The sequence below is a fragment of the Homo sapiens genome, chromosome 12, assembly GCF_000001405.40.
Source record: "Homo sapiens chromosome 12, GRCh38.p14 Primary Assembly".
In the NCBI taxonomy this organism is placed as follows: Eukaryota; Metazoa; Chordata; class Mammalia; order Primates; family Hominidae; genus Homo; species Homo sapiens.
This window is the reverse complement of record NC_000012.12, coordinates 51,852,730-51,871,191: the sequence shown is the minus strand read 5'-3', so window position 1 is coordinate 51,871,191 and position 18,462 is coordinate 51,852,730. Positions and strand designations below refer to the sequence as shown.

The 18,462-nt window shown below is 52.0% G+C and overlaps 3 annotated features.

Annotated features, from left to right (window-relative positions):
- Positions 884-1,515: an enhancer, noted in NCBI's record as "H3K4me1 hESC enhancer chr12:52263461-52264092 (GRCh37/hg19 assembly coordinates)". NCBI's record gives its function as "activates a minimal SCP1, AML or CMV promoter by ChIP-STARR-seq in naive H9 embryonic stem cells {active_cell/tissue: H9 hESC(naive)}" and the evidence as "EXISTENCE:reporter gene assay evidence [ECO:0000049][PMID:30033119]".
- Positions 1,516-2,149: an enhancer, noted in NCBI's record as "H3K27ac-H3K4me1 hESC enhancer chr12:52262827-52263460 (GRCh37/hg19 assembly coordinates)". NCBI's record gives its function as "activates a minimal SCP1, AML or CMV promoter by ChIP-STARR-seq in naive H9 embryonic stem cells {active_cell/tissue: H9 hESC(naive)}" and the evidence as "EXISTENCE:reporter gene assay evidence [ECO:0000049][PMID:30033119]".
- Positions 7,668-8,188: an enhancer, noted in NCBI's record as "H3K27ac-H3K4me1 hESC enhancer chr12:52256788-52257308 (GRCh37/hg19 assembly coordinates)". NCBI's record gives its function as "activates a minimal SCP1, AML or CMV promoter by ChIP-STARR-seq in naive H9 embryonic stem cells {active_cell/tissue: H9 hESC(naive)}" and the evidence as "EXISTENCE:reporter gene assay evidence [ECO:0000049][PMID:30033119]".

Sequence of the window (18,462 nt, the reverse complement as noted above, 5' to 3'; positions counted from 1 at the left end):
CTTCCCATCTTCCCACAGTAGTTATTAAATGTCCCAGGCTCACCCTGATTTCTTTACCCCACTCATCTATCTGTTGGATAGTAATAATGAATTCAATGCTTATGCTGCCTGTGTGTTGTGGTGTGGATCTGTGTGTGTGGTATATCTACTTGTAAACTGAGGCTATTAGTGTCTACTTCACAGGAGGATGGAATGAGTTAAATTAAACTAAACTATGTAAAGGACTTAGAATGATGTCTGGCACAGTCAGCTGATTAGCTGTCAGCCAAGATTATTGTTATAGTAAGCCATGGGTCTGCCCATGTGTGCAAAGCATCTAGGTGGGTACCAGGTGAGTACAGGTGTTTGTAGCTGGCCCCACCCAGAGAGAAGCCCTCTCGGAGGTGACCAGATGAACTAGCATCCAGTTTGGTCCCAGGGACTCCTTTCCTGGAATGTATGGAGCATGTACTGAGTGCTTCTTGGTTTGCACCAGGCATTGTGCTAGAGAACAAGAAAGACAAGGTCCCCGCGTTCATGAAGCTGACATTCTGGTAAGTGAAACAGACCACAAACCAAGTGAATAAGAAAGATAATTACAGAATGTGGTGAGTTCAGTGGAAGAAATATATAAGGTTAAGTGACAGACTGGATCAGGCAGATGGGGCTGCTTTATTATTGTGGTCAGGGATGATGGGAAGGTGACGTTCCTGGGAAGGATCTGGGCAGAGCGATCCAGGAAAAGCACCAGCAAAGCCAAGGCCAGAGGTGGGGGAAAGCTTATCAAGTTCAATGAACAGAAAGGCAGCCAGTGTAAGCAGTGTCTGGGCAGTGGGGAGAAGGATAGGAAGAGAGGTCTGTCTGTGTAGGTAGGGGCTGGGGGAAAAGGTTTGGGCTTCCTTTGCAGGGAAGCTGTGGGTGGCTGTTAAGCGAGGAATCACATGCCCTGGTGTTTTCCTGATTTGTATTTTTAAAGGTCTCTTTGCCTGCAGTGTGAACTGATTGTTGGGGACCCTGGGAGAGCGGACAGGAGTCTTTTCGATTGTGCAGGGAAGTAACAGGAGCTTGGGCAGTTGAGTGGGGGCAGGGGCAGGGGCTGTTTTAGGAACTATGTTAGAGACAGAGGAACAAGATTCAGGGTGAGGGTGGGAGAGGAATTCAAGAAGAAAGAAAGGCCCAGGGAGCCCAGATGATCCAGTTGTTTCTACTCTGGGCCAGGAGAGTCCCCCTGTCCTCTTTAGCCCTGGCCCTGACCCACAGGGGCCAACCCTAGCCATTTGCTCTCCCACTGTGTCTACCCTCAGCAGCCCTAAATCAAGGGCAGGCCAGGCTGGCTCATCCGAGACCTTTGTGAGAAACGGTGCCCCCTGCCCTCCTTCAGAACGAGTCAGCACCTGCCAAGGCCGAGCTTGGAATCCCACTCACCCACAACCACGCCTCCCACCTTGTATAGGTCACAACCTGCACAACCGTACAGCTCCCCTCTCCCTAGCCTGGGCCACTGGCTCGACCTGAAAATCTTCGGAACTTTGAGGACCTAAAGGCCCGGAGCTGGTTGCGGCCGGCCCTGGCCTGAAACAACTCTGGGGGTGGGGGCGGCCGGAGACTCGGCCTTTCCAAAGGGAATCTCTCAGCCCTCGTCCCGGGAGAAGGAGGTGTCTCCACCGGGCCCTCACATCACTCTCCCCTAGAAGCTGGGATGCCCGCGCCCCGGCGGCCAGAGCCGCCCCTCCCGGACCCCCTCCCCGCCGGTTCCCGGCCGGGGAGGCCGCCGCCCCTCCCGCAGGAGCGAGCTGCCGAGCCGATCTTCCGGCCCCAGGCTACGGCGGGGGAGGGTCCGAGCGGTAATTGCTGCCATCTGCTCCCTCCTCCCTCCTCTTCCCCCACAGCCTGGGGGAGGCTCCGAGGCTCGCGCGCTGGCTCCGCGCCCCCGCGTCCGAACGTCCCCCTTTCACGCGCAGCCCTGGCCACCGAGGGGCGGGAGCTCCAGGTGGCCCGCGAGCCCCCCTGGGGCGAGTGCGGGGGTGAACCGAGAGCACCCACCAGCATCTCTTTGCTGGAGGGCGGGCCCTAGTCGGAGCCACACAGCATTGCGCGACAGAATCCCACCGCTGGGGTTCTGCTCCTCGTGGAGCCAGGCCTTGGGAAGCACGGGGGTGTCCCTCGGCCACTCGCTCGGCTGGCGTGCACACGGGTGGATAGTTCACGCCCGCCTCGGGATACGGACGTGTGGATCTGGATTTCGGACCTGGACAGACGCGTCCGGGGTGTGTGTAGGAGGGAGGAGCAGAGCCGAGGCCCGAGGCTGAAGCCGGTGGGGAGGAGGCAGGACTCTGCTCTTCGGGCCCGGCGGGCTGGAGTTATCGTCGGCTGGGGAACCTCGGGCAGCGCTCAGAGCCGTGTCCTCATCTGTTAAATGGGGACCCAGTACCTGCTTCTTGGGTGCATCCAGAGGATTTGATTCCACAGTCTGGGAAGCAACACCTGCGGGTGGGAGAATGGTTAGGCCAGGAAGAGGGAGTGTGGGCTGGGGATGGGAGGTTGGTATCAAGGCCATTTCCTGGGGTCTCCAGCAGCATGGGCTTCAGAGGGTGAAGATGTCTGATGACAGTGCTGGGGGGCATTGGAGGAGTTCGGGAATGTTTATGGATCACCCCCAGGCTATCAGAGTCTCAAATAATCTGTCGCATTTTTCTCATAAGAACACTTTTGCCTAGCACCCTGAGTTCTGATGTTTTGCTCCTCTTTTTTTCTTCTGGATTTCTGCTCACTAGAATACTCACAGGGTAGCAGAGAGCACCTGACTGCCCTGGTACAGGAAGCCACTCACCCCGGTCCGCTGGTGACACAGACAGCCGTGCTGCCCAGGACCCAGAAAACCTCACCTTGTGGCACAGAAGGTGCCCGCTGCCTCCCTCTCTTGTAGCCTTGCTGACTCCGACAAACCTGTGTTTGTCTCAGAGGCCAGCTCCTGCAGGACTGAACTACGCCTCCTTCCCCTAACCGTCACTGCCACCAGTCCGATGGCCTGACTCCTCAGCACAGTGAGCCTTGGGGTGCCGAGAGCAGGCCTCCTCAAAACCCTGGAGGGGCTGTCACTATAGGGAGGGGATACATTGTGAGAATTCTGGAATCACAGGGACCATTGGACAACCTGAGGGTAACTGACTTCTGCAGGGGTCAGGAGGATGCCCCAGAGTCAGTGGCTTCTGGGCTGGGGTTGGAGGGAGGAATAAAATAAAAGTTCACCAGGGCCGGAGGCTCGGCCCCAGGGAGGATTATTTGAGGCCTGAAGTTCTGGACCAGCCCAGGCAACACAGTGAGATACCATCTCTGAAAAAAAAAAATTAAAATATTAGCCAGCTGTGGTGGTACGTGTCTGTAGTCCTACCTACTCTGGAGGCTGAGGCAGAAAGATTGCTTGAGCCCAGGAGTTGGAAGCTGCAGTGAGCTATGATTGTGCCACTGCACTCCAGCCTGGGTGACAGACTGAGACTCCATCTCTAAAAAAGTTTAAAAGTTCACCAGAGAAGGAAGAGAAGTGGTGCTCCAGGAAGAAGGAGCAGTGTGTGCAAAGATGGGAGTGTGAAAGTCCAGCTGCAGCCTGGGGAAGCATGGCAAGTGTGATGTACCTGCAGGAAGAGTGTTGGAGGGGAGGAGTTGACTGGGATATGGAGGGGAACCATGTGTGAAGGGAGTCTGAAGGGACACAAATACCAGGTCAAGGAATTTTGACTTGAGTTTGTTATAACAAATTGAAGTATCTGCAGGAAGGGGTAGACAGGAACAAAAATGGCCAAACACATGAAGCTGACAAGAAGTAAAATAAGAAGGCAAGGGCCAGCCTAAGTGATAAAAAGGCCATTCACTCATCTGGGCCTCAGACCTGGGAGACAATAGGGATTGGTGAGGTTTCCAGAATTCCCTCAATGGTGCATAGGTAAGCCCCAGGGATACCTTGTAAAGGCCACAGTTGTTACTCAGCCCCAGCCACTTGTTGCCATCCAAGAATGCAAACATATTGCCAGTGTTTTCAAGAAAATTTAAAAATAGAGCGATGTGCACTATTTAAAAATAGTGACTGGAGCCTGTAATCTCAGCTACTCAGGAGGCTGAAGCGGGAGGATCACTTGGGCCCAGGAATTAAGGCTGCAGTGAGCTATGATTGCACCACTGCACTCCAGCCTGAGGGACAAAGCAAGACTCCGCCTTAAATTTTTTTTTTTTTTTTTTAAACAGGGTTGCACTCTGTCACCCAGGTTGGAGTACAATGGCACCACGCCACTCAGCTTACTGCAGCCTCTGCCTGCTGGGCTCAAGCAATCCTCCCACCTTAGTCTCCTGAGTAGCTGGGACTACAAGCACACACCACCACACCTGGCTATGTTTTTTTGTTGTTGTTTCCTTTTTTTTTTTTTTTTTTTGTAAAGACGCGGTTTCGCCGTGTTGCTCAGGCTGGTCTCTAATTCCTGGGCTCAAGTGATCTGCCCACCTCGCCTTCCAAAGTGCTCTGATTACAGGCGTGAGTCACTATGCCCAGCCAAAAAAAAATTTTTTTTAATAAATGTAGATTTTGGTGTTGCCTCCTGGCTTTTAAATCTTGACAACTATTTTTAAAAAAGTTTAATTATGTGAGTGCCCTAACTACACAGGACACAAACATAATGGGACTAGATTTGGCCCACTGGCCACCAGTCTTCAATGGCTTCAGAGTTGCTGGAAAGCTATTGGAAGTTGTGCAAGGAGGGAAACAATCCGAATAACAGGCCTGAGTTTTAGGACACTCGCTCAGGGGCAGTGTGGAGGAATGGACTGGTAGCAGAAGGTGAATGGGGGCAGTTGCAGTTGTCCAGGCCAGAGGGGCTGAGGCCTGAACAAAAGTGGCTGACCGGGAGATGGGGAAGACTCCCCAGGCACACTGTAGGGATCTTCAGGGATTGGCCCACCCTGGGAAGTTAAAGGTTTAAAGTCTCCTATCCCTTTGTCCCCTCTGAGGGATTGCAAAACATCATCATCTAGTGGGTGGAGAGGCCTATTTAGAGTTGGATACCCCTGGAAATTCCCAAGGGTGGGTGCTGGCAGGCCACCCCATGGGGCTAGTAAGACATTCCAAACTGCCTGCAGAGGGAGGGGTTGTCCTGGGGGAGGGGCTCAGGAATCTGGCCTGGCCTTCAGGAAGACCCCAGCCAGCCCTAATGGGAACCACACGTGGGGTGAGTTTGGAATCCCGGATTGCCTGTGACGTTTGGCTTTGGAATCGGACACTTGGCTGGGGTCGCTCCTGACCTGCTGAAGTCTGAGGCCTCCCAGCCCCAGCTCTCCTCCTAATCGCTGCCAGACGCATTCTGCCCTGGGGCCTGCCTGGTTTCTGGAGAGAGGGTGCTCCTTGGACCCCACTTGCTGTAAGATCATCATCTACACCCTGGGGGAGTAGGGGTCCTCAGGCAGGAATTCCAGGCTTCCTGCACGGCCAAGGGTTGATGCTCTCAGAGATTGCCGACCAAGAAGTTCCTTCCAGTGTCCATCAAAACAGTATTCCCTGAATTTACAACCCTCTTGGAGTCCTGATGGCTTCTGGCCTTGCAGAGACCGGTACCCTCAGCCTCCACCCCTCCCCTGCAGCGTCTGCGGGTGCTCTGTGGCTCTGGCAGTCGGAGCCTCCCCCCATGCCCCACAGGGTTAATTCCTTGCACCATCCTCAGGCACTAGGAGCAAGGAGCAGTCCAAAGGGCAGGGGACAAGCCCTGTGAACAGGTGGTTTGCTCCTGAGGAGTCCTTGAAAATCCAGAGGAGGGAAATGAGTCTCTCCTAGCACACTTCCCAAGACTTTCTCTTCCTCCCGACCCAAATACCTCCTTGTCTGAGGACTAGAGCTGCCGCGTGAAGAGATGTGTCAATACATCATAGAGGGCCTAGAAAAACTCTTGGTCTTTATTTGAGTGGCTCACCCAGTCCTTGAGCCATGGCTGTCATCACATCTGCTAAGCCCTCTTCATAACCCTCTGACTATTGTGTGTGTGTGTGGGTGGAGGATGCAGTTTCTGCTTAAGTCCCTGACACTCCCAAGGGCCCCCTCAGGCCCAGCCCCCTCCCCCTTGGTACCCTCTTTGAGAACTTCCAGGCAGCCTGCTCAGCATCAGGCCAGGGGCCCAGGAGCTCGGACAGGCTGCATTCCTGAGGGCAGGGAAGAGGAGGGGAGGACTGTACAAAGCCCACTACTCCCTTCCAGCACACACCCGGAGCTGCCCAGACTGATGCTCTCTCTAGCCACGCTGAGGATGGCCAGTGTAGCTCCATAAAAACCCGGCAGTAGGGCCAGGGAAGTAGGGGCTCTTCTAAAGATTAAGCCTTCTGTGCCCTGGAGCTCTTCCACTCCCGGTGGGACCTAAGGTTCCAGCATGAATAGGAGCTCATGGTGGGCACTGGGTAAAGGGTCGTGCGGCGAGGTGACCAGGCGTTGAGCAGACACAGCCCCCTTGGCATAACTTAACATTCCTTCTGCAGGGCAGCTCAGTCTCCCAAAAGTCTCTAGAGAGGGCGCAGGGACCTCCAGAGAGAAATCAGACCCAGCCGAATGGAAGCCCGGCAGCCGCTGCAGAAGCTGACAGCACGCTGGGGAGGAGCGGCACCTCCTCTGGAGCTGAGGATTCGGGTAGTCCCTCCAACCCAGTCCGTCCCCATCCCCCAGCCCGATTTCGGGAAGCTCTCCCAATGAATATTTAATAGCATAGCGCTAGGCCTGATTGAATTTTAATGCTGGCGACCCGAGCCCGGAGCCCAAGTCCAGGCAATTAGTCAGGAGCCATTAACGCTGACGGAGCTGATTTACGGGCGGGACCGGGCCCCGGGCCGGGGGCGCCCAGGATGGCGGGCGGCCGGGGATTGGGCGGACTGAGCCTCTGCGGCAGCCAATCTTTGCGGCTGCCTCGGCCTACTTTGCATCTCATTTGCATAGCGCTCCCAGGGGCAGCCCGGGGCACGGCCTGGGGAGGCCCTGTGCCGGGGGTCTGGGAGGCGGGAGGGTGATGGGGAGTGGGGCCCAGGCGTGGCCCTCCTCCCGGGGCCGGACTAGAATTTATGGCAAAACCTCTCTCGGTTTGCACGTGGAATTCCATCAGACAATCCCGCTGTTCCCTGGTAGGGTCCAGGTCTGAGGGCAAATTCCAAAGGCAACGGAGGGGAGCAGAGACCAGGGCCGACCTGGAAGCCAGGCAGCTCCGCTGCGTCTCGGGACCTAACAAAGGGCGCCGCGGTTAGCAGAGGGAGGAGCCTTTCCCGCCCTTGCTGTGTGCCAGGCGCTGTGCCTGCCTAAATCTCCACTTTCCTGCCCTGCTGCCCACCCCCTCCCGGCCCCGCCCTCCTCCCCCGGCCTCTCAGAGGGGGCATCTACGCTGATGGGAATGGAGCTGGTGGTTTTCAGGGTTTTTGTGGTTTTCAGGCTGGATTATGCCCCAGAAGGCTAGGGAGGAAGCCAAGGGCCCTCGGAGGAGACGGCCCTCCTCTCCGCCTTGCCCCTCATCCCTCTGACCTGTGTGAATGAGCTGGGACTCAGCCTGGAGGGCTCTATTGAACTATGCCCGACCTCTTAAATCATAGGTCAAGGATTTAGCTGGCCTGTCTGCTGCCACTCTGGCAGGTGGCCTCCTCCTCGCCAGCCCCACCCCTTTCCCAGCGGGTCCACGGAGCTGTGGTGGTGCTGCGGTGGAAGGCGGCATCCTTCCCTTTGCAGTCAGGCGTCCCCATGGGGTCAGACCTCCCTTGAGCTGGCACGGAGAAAGCCCACGGTTTGTACTGGGGGCATGGGCAATGGAGTAGGGTGGATAGAGCTCTGGGCTGGAAGGCCAGAACCTACACGGAGGCAGTGGGGAGGTTGGCAGAGAATGGAGAGACATTAGTCAAGGAAGGCTTCCTGTTAGAGGCAGGGCAGAGTAGAGACTGGAAGGGAGGGAGGGAAGGGGTCAAGGAAAAAGGAAAGGAGAAGAAATCTTCCACAGGGGATCATCCTGTTTGAGGCAAGAGAGAGTAAGCTGAAAGCCCAAAGAGCCTCACGCTGAGTTTGGTATTCTAGTGCAGAGGCTCAGCAGGAGGCTGCCCTCCTAGGCCTAACCCGAAGACGCAGGCTGTGAAGGGATGAAGGGATGATGACCTTATTATCACCGTTTAAGGAGTACCTGCTATGTGCCAGGCACTATGCTAAGCACTGCCAATATATTGTTTCATCTAATCTTGTTTTTTTCTTTTTGTTATGTTTCATCTAAAGTTTTGTTTTGTTTTGTTTTGTTTTGTTTTGAGACGGAGTCTCGCTCTGTCGCCCAGGCTGGAGTGCAGTGGCTGATCTCAGCTCACTGCAACCTCTGCCTCCCGGGTTCAAGTGATTCTCCTTCCTTAGCCTCCTGAGTAGCTGGGATTAAAAATGTGCACAACCACGCCCAGCTAATTTTTGTACTTTTAGTAGAGACAGGGTTTCACCATGTTTGTCAGGCTGCTCCCAAATTCCTGAACTTGTGATCCACCAGCCTCAGCCTCCCAAAGTGCTGGGATTTTAGGCATGAGCCACTGTGCCCGACCTCATGTAATCTTTATAGCAACCCAATGAGCTAAGTATTTTTAGAATTCCCATTTTACAGATGAGGATACTGAGGCTCCGAGAAAGGTGGTAGTTTGACCCAGATCACATAGCTAGTGGGTGGCAGAACGCTTGCTCTTGTCCACCACGCCGTACTGCTCACAGATACCTCAAACTTACACTTTTTCACCCCCCAAACCTGTTTCTCCTACTGTATCTCTTCTCTCCTTTTACCGGCACCTACCTGGTGATGAAAACAGATCCTGCATGTAATCTTTGCCAAAAGCCTGAGAAATGATCCCATCCACATTGTCACCCATGCCCGAGTGCTTGGCGTTATCGATCATTTACAGTCCCAAAGGTTTCTAAGTTCTGTTCCCTCCTCTCTGCCTGCCCCTGCTTGGTTCAGGCTCAGGTCATCCTTGCCAGGGCCAGGGGAGGTACACCACATTGAACCTCCGTCTGCGCCAGGCTCTGTGCTAAGAGCTTTCAGGCATTGTCTCTGCATCAGCCCTCTCCAGAAGCCTAAGACTAGGTCCTTTGATTACCAGGGTCTCCATTTCACAGATGGGCTGGGGAAGGTTGGGGAACTGTGGGAAGAAATCCCCAGCTATACTGGGCCTGATGGTGGAGCAGCAAGCAGACCCCACCGGATCAAGCGCGCTTCAGAGTCTCTTGCCTTCTCAGCTGCTCTTCAAAACCCACTTCCCCAGGCTGGTTCTGGATGCCTCTCCTCCCCCTTGACATAAAGGTGTTTTGGGCTTCCAGCTATGAGAGACCCAACTTAAAAATGGCTTATACAGCATTTATAATGTCACAAAACAAGAAGTCCCAAGGCTGTTGGTGAAGTCAGTGGCTCAACAGTGTTATCAAGGACCTAGGTTACTTCTGTACTTCTTTGTTTCTTGTTTGTTTGGTTTTCTTTTTCTTTCCTTCTTTCGTCAACTTTATTGAAATACAATTTATATGCAGTAGGATGCACAGATTTTATTTTATTGTTTATTTGTTTATTAAGACAGTGTCTCCCTCTGTCACCTAGGCTGGAGTGCAGTAGCACAATCACAGCTTACTGCAGAATTGACCTCCTCGGGCTGAGGTGATCCTGCCACCTCAGCCTCCTGAGTAGCTGGGACTACAGGCATGCACCATCATGTCTAGCTAATTTTTGTGGTTTTTGTAGAGATGGGGTGTCACCATGTTGTCCAGGTTGGTCTCGAACTCCTGGACTCAAGAGATCTGCCTGCCTCGGCATCCCAAAGTGCTGGGATTATGGGGCATGAGCCACTGTACCTGGCCAGGATGCACAGATTTTAAAACTACAGTTTGATGAATTTTGACAAGTGTTTACCTGGTCACCACCATTCCAATCAAGATGTGGAATATTGACATCATGCAGCAAGTCCCCTCCTGTCCATAGGCAGTCAGTCCCCCCATCCCCGGCCACCTCCTGCTACAGGTAATCTGATGTTTACCTCTAGATCAGTTTTGCATATTCCAGGTCTTCCTATGAATGGAATTATATTGTATGTACTCTTCTGTGTCTGGCCCTTTGGCTTCAGACAATGGTATTGAGATTCACGCATTTTATTGTATCAGTAGTTTTTTGTTTTTTTTTTTTGAGATGGAGTCTCGCTCTGTCACCCAGTCTGGAGTGCAGTGGAGCGATCTCGGCTCACTGCAAGCTCCGCCTCCTGGGTTCACGCCATTCTCCTGCCTCAGCCTCTCGAGTAGCTGGGACTACAGGCGCCTGCCACCAAGCCCGGCTAATTTTTTTGTATTTTTGGTAGAGATGGTGTTTCACCATGTTAGCCAGGATGGTCTCGATCTCCTGACCTTGTGATCTGCCTGCCTCGGCTTCCCAAAGCGCTGGGATTACAGGCGTGAGCCACCGCACCCGGCCCTGGTTTTTTTTTTTTTTTTTTTTTTTTAGATACAGGGTCTCGCTATGTTGCCCAGGCTAGTCTCAAACTCTTAGGCTCAAGCAATCCACCTGCCTCAGCCTCTCAAAGCATTAGATTACAGGCACGAGCTCATGCCTGGCTCATTGTTATTGCTGAATAGGTTTCCACTCAAAATATTCCACCACATTTCTTTCTCTTTTTTCTGCCATCCTTATCCTCTGGATTTTTGTCCTTGTATCCTGACTTCCCTCAAAGTCACAAGGTAGATGCTGCAGTTTCAGACACCACAGGCAGACAATGACATTCAGAGGCCAAGAAAAACTGTTTCTCTTTCAGCCTCTGTGAAATCTTTTTAGAAGCTTCCCACAAAACATCCCCTTATGTCTCATAGGCCAAATCATGCCATGTGTCCATTCTTAAATGGAATTTGAGACCAGCCTGGGCAACATAGGGAGACCTCGTCTCTACAGAAAACTAAAAAAATTAGCCAGGCATGGTGGCACACACCTGTAGTCCCAGCTACTCAGGAAGCTGAGGAAGGAGAATCACAGAGCCCAGGAGGTCGAGCCTGCAGTAAGCCGAGATTGTGCCACTGCACTTCAGCCTGGGCAACAGAGTAAGACCCTGTCTGAAAAAAATAATTAAATAAATTCTGTGATGTCGCTTCTGCTATTAGGTTATAAAAAGACTATGGCTGCCGGGCACGGTGGCTCACACCTGTAATCTCAGCACTTTGGGAGGCTGAGGCGAGTGGATCACCTGAGGTCAGGAATTCAAGACCAGCCCAGCCAACGTGATGAAACCCCATCTCTACTAAAAATACAAAATTAGTCAGGCATGGTGGGGCATGCCTGTAATCCCAGCACTTTGGGAGGCTGAGGCAGGCAGATCACCTGAGGTCAGGAGTTCAAGACCAGCCTGGCCAACAGGGTGAAACCCCATCTCTCCAAAAATACAAAATTTAGATGGATTAGACGGGCATGATGGCGGGTGCCTGTAATCCCAGCTACTCGGTTGGCTGAGGTGGGAGAATCGCTTGAACCTGGGAGGCGGAGGTTGCAGTGAGCTGAGATTGAGCTATTGTACTCTAGGTTGGGCGACAGAGCAAGACTCCATCTCAAAAACAAAAACAAAAACAAAAAAACTGTCTCTTCTGTCTTGAATGCTTACTTGTGCTTTCTCTTGGATCATTTGCTGTGGGGGTGGGAAGCCAGGGCCATGTCATAAAGACAGTTAGGAGGCCTATAGGGAGGCCCATGTGTTGAGGCCCTGAGGTGGTCTCTAGCCAGTAGCCAGCTAGGAACCAAGGTCTGTGCACAGCCATGTGAGTGAACTTGAAAGTGGGCTCTCCAGTCCCACATGCCTGCAGCCCCCAGAGGACAGCTTGAGTGCAGCCTCATAAGAGACCAGGAGCCAGAACCACCCAGTTAAGCCATACCCAGAGTCCTGACCCACAGAAAGTATAATATAAAATGTTGATTGCTTAAAGCTGCTAAGATTTGGGGTAATCTGGAGTGAAATGGCGTGATCTCGGCTCACCGCAAACTCCGCCTCCTGGGTTCAAGCAATTCTCCTGCCTCAGCCTCCTGAGCAGCTGGGATAACAGGCATGTGCCACCACACCCGGCTAATTTTGTATTTTTAGTAGAGACGGGGTTTCTCCATGTTGGTCAGGGTGGTCTCGAACTCCCAACCTCAGGTGATCTGCCCGCCTTGGCCTCCCAAAGTGCTGGGATTACAGGCATGAGCCACCATGCCCAGCCGATTTGGGGTAATCTTTTATGCAGCAATAGATAATTTGGTAGAGCACTTTTTTTGGTGGGGGGGGACAGTCTCGCTCTGTCGCCCAGGCTACAGTGCAGCGGCACGATCTCGGCTCGCTAGAATCTCTACCTCCTGGGTTCCAGGGATTCTCCTGCCTCAGCCTCCTGAGTAGCTGGGACTACAGGCGCCCACCACCACGCCTGGCTAATTTTTGTACTTTTAGTAGAGACGGGGTTTCACCATGTTGGCCAGGCTGGTCTCGAACTCCTGACCTCAGATGATCTGCCCACCTCGGCATCCCAAAGTGCTGGGATTATAGGCTTGAGCCACTGCGCCCGGCCCACTTTTTTTTTTTTTTTTTGAGACGGGGTCTCACTCTGTCACTCAGGCTGGAGTGCAGTGGTGCAATCTCAGCTCACTGCAACCTCCGCTTCCTGGGTTCAAGCAACTCTTGTGCCTCAGCCTCCCAAGTAACTGGGATTACAGGTGTGTGCCACCATGCCAGGCTAATTTTTTTGTATTTTTAATAGAGACGGGGTTTCACCATGTTGGCCAGGTTGGTCTTGAACTCCTGACCTCAAGTAATCTGCCCACCTTGGCCTCCCAAAGTGCTGGGATTACAGGTGTGAGCCACCACGCCCAGCCTGGTAGAGCACTTTTAAGAAATGTTCTGTATCACCAGTACTTGTAAGATGGCCCAGATGCTGATTCTGTGTGGAAAAACAGATATTGACAGCTGGGAATTGAAAAGTGATCCAAGAATCAGACTCTGAATGGGGTGAAGTTTTAGGAAAACCTTAACCAGTTTATTTCACCCATGTTTTCCTTGTTACGTAAGTACAAAGGTAGTAAGTCTAAGAGAACCTTTTCAGTAAGTGTAAAATAAAAATTCTAAGTGATAAGAAGTCATCATCACTTTAATCCGCAGTTTTAGTGTTTTTTCTTTCTTTCTTTTTTTTTTTTTTTTTTTTTTTCAGATGGAGTCTTGCTCTGTTACCCAGGCTGGAGTGCAGTGGCAGGATCTCGGCTCACTGCAACCTCTGCCTCCCGGCTTCAAGCAATTCTCCTGCCTCAGCCTCCTGAATAGCTGGGATTACAGGCACCTGCCACCACGCCCAGCTAATTGTTGTATTTTTAGTAGACACAGGGTTTCACCATGTTGGCCAGTCTGGTCTTGAACTCCTGATCTTGTGATCCACCCGCCTCAGCCTCCCAAAGTGCTGGGATTACAGGCGTGAGCCACCGCGCCCGGCCAGTGTTTTTTCTTTCTAAAGTACATGAAGTATGGTGGTTCATGCCTGTAATCCCAGCACTTTGGGAGGCCGAGGTGGAAGGATGGCTTCAGCCCAGGAGTTCAAGACCAGCCTGAGCAACACAGCAAGACCCTGTCTCTGAAAAATCAATCAATCAATCAATCAATCAATCAATCAATCAAGTACATGAAGCAGCAGTGCTTCTTAACATCATTGGTGTCTAAATTGGATGAAATACGATCATGTATTTTCCTTATAGTAGAAGCCATTATGAGGGGAGTTTTCTGGCACTTGCAGCAGAGGATCTGAATTCAGGGGAGCATAGGAATAGGGCTGAGGAGGAGGTGAGTAAGGGGAAGCAGGGAACAAGTCTATGAGGGAGAGTGGGCAGGGATTTGTGGCAAAAAGCTCAGGAATATTTCCAGAGGTAACTTTGTGAATGGGTCCCTGTTGAAGTGTGTTTGTTCTAACCCTCCAATAGGTTAATAAGAGCCTGGGGTGTATACCACCCATGATGCCTAGCAATTGCTGGTGGCATTGGAAATGCCTGCATTTCCCAAACAAAAATAAGGACATATGACCTAACATAAGAGTTTTCTGGCTGGTGCAGTGGTTCATGCCCATCATCCCAGCACTTTGGGAGGCCAAGGCGGGCAGATCACTTGAGGTCAGCAGTTCGAGAGCAGCCTGGCCAATGTGGCGAAAATTCATCTCTACTCAAACGAACAAACAAACAAAACCTACAAAAATTAGTTGAGCGTGGTGGCGCATGCCTGTAATCCCAGCTACTCAGGAGGCTGAGGCAGGAGAATCACTTGAACCCGGGAGGTGGAGGTTGTAGAGAGCCAAGATCACACCACTGCACTCCAGCCTGGGCGACAGGGTGAGACTCTGTCTCTAAATAAATAAATAAATAAGAGTTTTCCTATATTTAAAATTTTTGTGTGCCCCAGTAAGCCTTTACCATTTACAGCTTTACGGCCTTATGACTGATGCAAGGGAAGATGGAAACATGCTGGGGAAGGATGCTTCGTCAGGGATATCAGGTGCCCGTCGCAGCTCCCAGAAGTGTGGCCAGTTGTTGGGCAAATGTCCAGGGGCCAAAATCCGCACAGGGTATGAGGGGGCCTGGGGTTGGAGATCTGGTTAGTGTTTTGAGCAGAGTTACACATGGATCGGGATTTATAGACTTTGAGGAGTTTGCCTTCCCATCGGGAGGGAGTGGAGCTGTATCAACAAACACACTTTGCGAGAGGGAAGCCGGCAACCCAGGGGCTTAAGTTCCCAGGGTAAAGGGCAGCCCAGGATTTGAACTCGGGCAACCTGGCTCCAAAGCCTGTGCATGCCTTAGTCACTACATTTCGGCCTTTGAGATCTGTGGGGAGTTTTGCAACCACTGAATCCAAGCTCCTGATTTTACAGTTGAAGGAGCAGGACTCGCCCAAGGTCCATGGGGATGGGGTGGCTGAGCAGGACTCGGCTGCGGGGCGTTGTGGATTAGTGTTGGTAAAAGGAGGGGCGGGGGCTGTAGGCATGGAGGCTAGCTGGCCTCCCCACCCTGCCGCAATGCAAAGTGCCCCTGCTTTCCATCTGGGGAAAGGGCGCAACTTGATGGGGGTGGAGGGCGCAGGTTCGGGAAGCCGCCCGCCTCCTTCATTCCCGGGATTCCCAAGGCAGCCATTGTCCAGGAGGAATGTTGGACCAGCAGCACGGAGGGCGGGGCCTCTTCCCGTGCCCCAGACAAGCCTGCTTTGTGCTCTCCACCCCGGCCCCTCCTGGCCGTCACCAGCCAGACTTTCCCAGCATTTTTCAGGGGTCTCAGGGCAGGTCTCTAAGAGATGAAGTTACTTGGAGAGGAAAGGACCATGGGAGATGTACTCAACCCTGGAGGTCTGGGAGGGCTGCCTGGAGGAGAGGTGAGAGCACTGCCCAGAGGCCTGGGCTCCTGGCTCCTCAGAGATAAAAATATGCATTCCTAGCCTCTGGTTACCAGAACTTTATCCTAAGGCAATAATTAGACGCGTGCACAAAGGTGGAAGTTACAGGTTTGTTCATGAAGCTTTTATTTCTGGAAAAAAATCAACAACAAAGGAAACTTTTTTTTTTTTTTCCAGAAGAGTCTTACTCTGTTGCCCAGGCTTGAATGCAGAGGTGAGATCTTGGCTCACTGCTACCTCTGCCTCCCAGGTTCAAGCTATTCTCCTGCCTCAGCCTGCCTAGTAGCTGGGACTACAGGAGTGCGCCACCATGCCCACCTAACTTTTGTATTTTGAGTAGAGATGGGGTTTCATCATGTTGGCCAGGCTGGTCTCAAACTCCTGACCTCATGATCCGCCCGCCTTGGCCTCCCAAAGTGCTGGGATTACAGGCAAGAGCCACCGCACCTGGCCAGGAAACTTTTTAAATTAATTTAGACATGTCCACTTGATGGAATATTAAGCTGTCATTAACAATTGTGTGGTATAAACGTATTATAGACAGCAAAAGATGTTCAAAATATTTGTCCATTGTCTGGGTGCGGTGGCTCACGCCTGTAATCCCAGCACTTTGGGAGGCCAAGGCAGGTGGATCACTTGAGGTCAGGAGTTTGAGACCAGACTGGTCAACATGGTGAAACCCGTCTCTACTAAAAATGCCAAAATCAGCCAGCTGTGGTGGCACATGCCTGTAATCCCAGCTACTTAGGAGGCTGAGGCAGGAGAATTGCTTGAACCTGGGAGGTGGAGGTTGCAGTGAGCCGCGATCACACCACTGCACTCCAGCCTGGGCAACAGAGCAAGACTCCCTCTCAAAAAAAAAAATTGTCTATTAAGAAAAGTATATTATAAAACACTGTGGAGATCTCTCTATATATACATATGTGTGTGTGTGTGTGTGTGTGTGTGTGTGTGTGTGTGTGTGTGTGTGTAGAGAGAGATAAATAGAATAATATCTAGCTGACTCCAAAATGGTTTTTTGTTTGTTTTGTTTTGAAATGGGGTCTTGCTTTGTTGCCCAGGGTGGAGTGCATTGGCGCAATCACGGCTCACTGCAGCCTCAATCTCCCTGGCTCAAGCAATCCTCCCACCTTAGTCTCCCGAGTAGCTGGGACCACAGGCCCCCCACCACTGTGACCGGCTAACTGACTCCAACATATTACTGGTGGTTATCTCTGGGTGGTGGGATTAAAGGCGTTGGATTTTTAATTTTTTTGTTTTCTGCTTATCTATTTTTTCTTATTAGTGTTTTTTAAATAGTAGAAATGGGTTTCACTCTGTTGCCCAGGACTCATGCAATCCTCTTGCCTCGGCCTCCTGAGTAACTGAGGCTGTAGGCACATGATGCCTTTCGAATTTTTATAAAAAGGTGTTCTGCTTGTGTAACTAAAGTGTGTGTGTGTGTGTCTATGCGGGCAGCTTAACTGCCCACTACTCTAGGGTGGGTGTCCTTCACCCTCAGAAGTTTCTCCAACGTGGTACCTGCCCTGGGAGGGTAAGAGAGACAGCTGTTGAGGCATTAGAAAAATGAGTGTCAGATAGGCAGCCCCTGAGCCTAATCATAATAGCAACAACTCACTTAGCACTTTGCAAGGCGTTTTCACACACATTATCTTATTTGAGTCCCACTACGACCCTGTGAGGTCACATCATCGTCCTTTTCCAGGTGGGGAGACAGGCTCCCCAAGATTAAGTGGCTCCCCAGAGACAGTGCAGAAAGTGACAGAGGTGGGATTCAGTCCAGGGTCTCTGACCTTCAACCTTGGCACCCCTCTGTCTCCCTGACTCATGTCCATTACAGCATGCAGCATTTGTTCATCCACCTGTTCCTGTCCCCCACTGACCCTGGGATCTTACTTGAGTCACTGTTCCTAGAACTTAGTAGACTCAGGCATCAGTACATGCTATTGAATAAAAGAATGAATGAACATTCAAACCTGGAGCCCTGGTGGAGCAGGTCATGGTAGGTTACAAACTTGTTCTTTAGAGTCCGTGCATTCTTTTTTTTTTTTTTTTTTTTTTTTGAGACAGAATCTTGCTTTGTCAGCCAGGCTGGGGTGCAGTGGTGTGATCTTGGCTCACTACAACCTCCACTTCCGGGGTTCAAGTAATTCTTCTGCCTCAGCCTCCCAAATAGCTGGGACTACAGGTGCCCGCCACCACACCTGGCTAATTTTTGTATTTTTAGTAGAGATGGGGTTTCACCATCTTGGCCAGGCTGGTTTCAAATTCCTGACCTCAAGTGATCCATCTGCCTCAGCCTCCCAAAGTGCTAGGATTACAGGTGTGAGCCACCGTGCCTGGCCTAGACTGTGCATTTTTATACTTGCTATATTCTCTGTATTTATTTCTCTTTTGTTCTTTAACATTTTGCAAAGCTCTTTGGAAGATGGCTGACAGCAAGAGTTGCCAAAGGAATGGCTCTGCCTGGATCTGAACTTGTTCCTCCCCACTGTACACACCCATAACTGGAGACAGCCACCCCTGAGGCCAAGGGAGCAGAGGGGAGGCTCTTGGCTGGCTCCCTTCCTTACCTGAAGGGAAGGTTTCTATCTAGGACCAATGCTCGGGAAGGATGAGATTCTACACACTGAGTCTTGCGGAGCACACACCCTCCCTTCCACACCCTGGCAGACTCCAGACCCAAAGAGGTGGAGGTTCAAGGGTGGGGTGCAGATACCGAGGCTGGATGAGTTAGGGAAGGCATCCTGGAGGAGAGACCTGGAAGGCTGGTGTAGGAAGGGGAGGAGGCTGGGGCTGAAGGGAGAGAAGCAGGGAACCTACTCCAGTAGTGCTGGATGATTTAAGTACAACCAGATGTGCTGGGAATCTCCTGTCAGGCTCAGGCCCAGAGAGGGCAGAGTGGGGGTGGAGAGACCTCTGGGCCACTTGGATTTGCAGTTCCCTATTTTGCCCTGGGTCTGTAAACTTTAGGGAGCGAAGAAGCCCAGTAGGATTCCAGAGGTTCCAGATGGGCTTGCATGTTAGAGGGCGGATCGTGCAGGACTTGGAGGAGGCTTCTGC